The sequence below is a fragment of the Homo sapiens genome, chromosome 16 (assembly GCF_000001405.40).
Source record: "Homo sapiens chromosome 16, GRCh38.p14 Primary Assembly".
NCBI lineage: Eukaryota > Metazoa > Chordata > Mammalia > Primates > Hominidae > Homo > Homo sapiens.
In genome coordinates, this window is record NC_000016.10 from 4,146,804 (window position 1) to 4,150,479 (window position 3,676).

The 3,676-nt window shown below is 46.9% G+C and overlaps 1 annotated feature.

The window, feature by feature from the left end:
* Positions 351 to 882: an enhancer, noted in NCBI's record as "H3K27ac-H3K4me1 hESC enhancer chr16:4197155-4197686 (GRCh37/hg19 assembly coordinates)". NCBI's record gives its function as "activates a minimal SCP1, AML or CMV promoter by ChIP-STARR-seq in primed H9 embryonic stem cells {active_cell/tissue: H9 hESC(primed)}" and the evidence as "EXISTENCE:reporter gene assay evidence [ECO:0000049][PMID:30033119]".

Genomic DNA, 3,676 nt, shown 5'->3' on the forward strand with positions numbered 1-3,676 from the left:
AAGTGATTCTCCTGCCTCAGCCTCCTGAGTAGCTGGGGTTACAGGCACGCGCCACCACACTTGGCTAATTTTTGTATTTTTAGTAGAGATGGGGTTTCACTTTGTTGGCCAGGCTGGTCTCGAACTCCTTAGCTCAGATTATCCATTTGCCTCAGCCTCCCAAAGTCCCTCAGCTGGGATTACAGGCATGAGCCACCACACCCAGCCCCAGCTAATTCTTAAAATTGTTATAGAGATGGGGTCTCCCTATGTTGCCCAGGCTCGTCTCAAACTCCTGGGCTCAAAGATCCTCCCACCTCAGCCTCCTGAAGTGCTGGGATGACGGGTGTGAGCTGCCATGCCGGGCCTGGCCTGCCTTTCAGACTCCCCGCTATCCAGGATGCCTCTGATTGGCCCCTCCAAATTATCAGTAAGACCTCTGCCTATGTGAGACAAAACTGCAAAGACAAAGTATGGTGTCCCAATTATTTTTGTGTATGCACCCACACATTGACGTAGCCTAGTAACCTAGAGAAAACAAAAGGCTTCCAACTGAGGGAGCACAAGAGCTCCAAGGGCAGTCACAGTTGTGTGAGGGTGGCACCCCTGGATACCAGCGGCAGCGATTCCGAGTCAGTTCTCACAGTGGGTAGGCATTACGGTGGGGAGGCTTGTGGAATAAGGAAGAGAGGAAGCTTAGCCACGGCGCCAGCCCTCAAAGGAGCCTTGGGAAAGTCAAAACACCTAAGCCTTCTGGGGAAAGCAAGAGTCCCAGGAGAGCGAGGCCCCCCAGGCACCGGAAGTGGAAGTCCACTGGAAACCCAAGGCTGCTCCGACAGCAGCCTGTCTGGTAGACCCTCAGGCAACTGCCATTCATGGGCCCCTTCCACAGTGCTCTGCCATTAAAGCCACTCAGCTTCCTTCTCTGCCTCTTCTCATCCATTTCTTGGCTTCTCCTGTCCTACCAAATCCGTGGTTGGTACTACATTTTCTAGTCCCGTAGGGCAGGGCTGTCCAAGCCTGGGCCTCACCAAGGCCACTGGCCACTGTTGCTCAGGGGGAAGCCTCACACTGTGCATCAGAAGCTGGAGACACTGCAGCTTCTCTCAGGAGGGGACCGTAAGCACAGGCAGCCTGTGGCTGATCTGTGTGGGACACCCAGGGTCGAGAAGGGAGGACCAAGGTGTTCACTGCAATGGAACACAGCCTTACTAGCTGTCATGTCCCCCAGACAGCAAATTGGCTTGATTGCAATAACCAGTTGGAGAGGACAAAGTGAGAATCACCCCATGTGACCAGCTGCTTCTTGACGGTGATCATTTTGGGTGCTGAATCGAGCTCCAACCCCAAACATCAGCCCCATAATTGCCCATCAACCATTTCACCTTCACCTTTCTGGGGCTTCCAGGTTCCTTCATTAAAATAAAAAATGCTATTTGGGAATAAATTTAACAAAAGATATGCAAATCTTTTCCACTGAAAGCTGTAACACATTATTGAAAGAAATTACAGAAAATCTAAATAAATGAAGAAATGTACCATGTTCATGGATTAGAAAATTCAATATTGTTAAAATGTCAATTGTCTCAAATTAATCTATAGACTCAATGTAATCCCAAGTAAAATTCCAGAATGCAGACTGGCATGGCCAAAGCAGAAGGATCACTTGAGCTCAGGAGTTTGAGACCAGCCTAGGCAACATGACAAAACCTCATCTCTACAAAAAAATAGAAGTGTTAGCCAGTCATGGTGGAATGTGTCTGTAGTCCCAGCTACTCAGGAGACTGAGGTGGGAGGACTGCTTGAGCCCAGGAGGGTGAAGCTACAGTGACTATGATCATGCCACTGCACTCCAGCCTGGGTGACAGAAAAAGACCCTCTCTCAAAAAAAAAAAAAAAAAAAATTAAAAAAAACCAGAAAGCTTTTTTTAGAAATTGGCAAGCAGATTCTAAAATGTAAGTGGAAATGAGAAGGACCTAGAATAGCCAAAATAATCCTAATAAGGAAAAAATTCAGAGGACTTACACTGGCTGATTTTAAGAACTGCTATAAACAGCAGTAGCTAAGACCATTTGGTAGTGGCGTTAGGATACACAAAATAGAATCAATGGAGCAGAAAACAGAGTCCAAAAATAGACCTACATAAATATGGCCAACTGATTCCCAACAAATGTACCAAGGTAATTCAATGGAGAAAGAAAAACCTTTCAACAAATGGGCTAGAATAATTGTCTATTTGTAAGGAAAAACAAATTGCCTATTTGTAAGGAAAACAAATGAACCTCAACTCCTTTTTTTTTTTTTTTAAGACAGAGTCTCACTCTGTCGCCCAGGCTGGAGTGCAGTGGTGCCATCTCGGTTCACTGCAAGCTCCACCTCCCAGGTTCACGCCATTCTCCTGCCTAAGCCTCCCTAGTAGCTGGGACTACAGGCACCCGCCACCACGCCTGGCTAATTTTTTGTATTTTTTTTTTTTTAGTAGAGACAGGGTTTCACCGTGTTGGCCAGGATGGTCTCGATCTCCTGACCTCGTGATCTGCCCGCCTTGGCCTCCCAAAGTGCTGGGATTACAGGCGTGAGCCACCGCACCCGGCCCCTCAACTTCTTACATCACACCAAAAAATTAAATTGAAATAGATCCAAGACCTAAATAAAAAATTAAATTCATAAAGCATCTAAAACATAGGAAAATAACTTCATGACTTTGAGATGGGCAAATATTTCTAAGGCAAAACACAAAAAGCATTCCATAAAAAATTAATAAACAAATTCATCAAAATTTTAAATTTTGAGTACAGTCACCAGAATGGCTACAATTAAGCAGACTGACAACACCAAATGTTGGCAAAAATATGGAGTAACTAGAACCGTCGTATGTTGTTGATGGGAGTGTAAAATAACAAAACCGCTTTGGGCCAAGCACGGTGGCTGACGCCTGTAATCCCAGCACTCTGGGAGGCCAAGGCGGGCGGATCATGAGGTCAGGAGATAAGACCATCCTGGCAACCAAAAATTAGCCAGGCTTGGCAGTGTGCGCCTGTAGTCCCACCTACTCGGGAGGCTGAGGCAGGAGAATTGCTTGAACCCGGGAGGCGGAGCTTGCAGTGAGCCAAGATGGTGCCACTGCACTCCAGCCTGGCGACAGAGCGAGACTCCGTCTCAAAAACAAAACAAAAAAAAACTGCTTTGGAATACTGTCTAATGGTTTCCTTTTTTTTTTTTTTTTTTTTTTTTTTTTTTGAGACCGGGTCTCTTTCTGTTGCCCAGGCTGGAGTGAGATGGTACAATCACTGCTCACTGCAGCCTCAACCTCCTGGCCTCAAGCCATCCTCCTGCCTAAGCTTCCCAAGCAGCTGGGACTACAGGCATGCACCACCAGGCCCAGCTAAATTTTTCTTTTTCTTTTCTTTTCCTTTTTTTTTTTTTTTTTTTGAGACCGAGTCTCGCTCTGTTGCCCAGGCTGCAGTGCAGGGGCATGATCTTGGCTCACAGCAACCTCCACCTCCTGGGTTCAAGCTATTCTCCTGCCTCAGCCTCCCAAGTAGCTGGAACTAGAGGCATGCACCACCACACCCAGCTAATTTTTGTATTTTTAGTAGAGATGGGGTTTCACCACGTTGGCCAGGCTGGTCTCGAACTCCTGACCTCAGGTGATCAGTCTGTCTCGGCCTCCCAAAGTGCTGGGATTACAGGCAT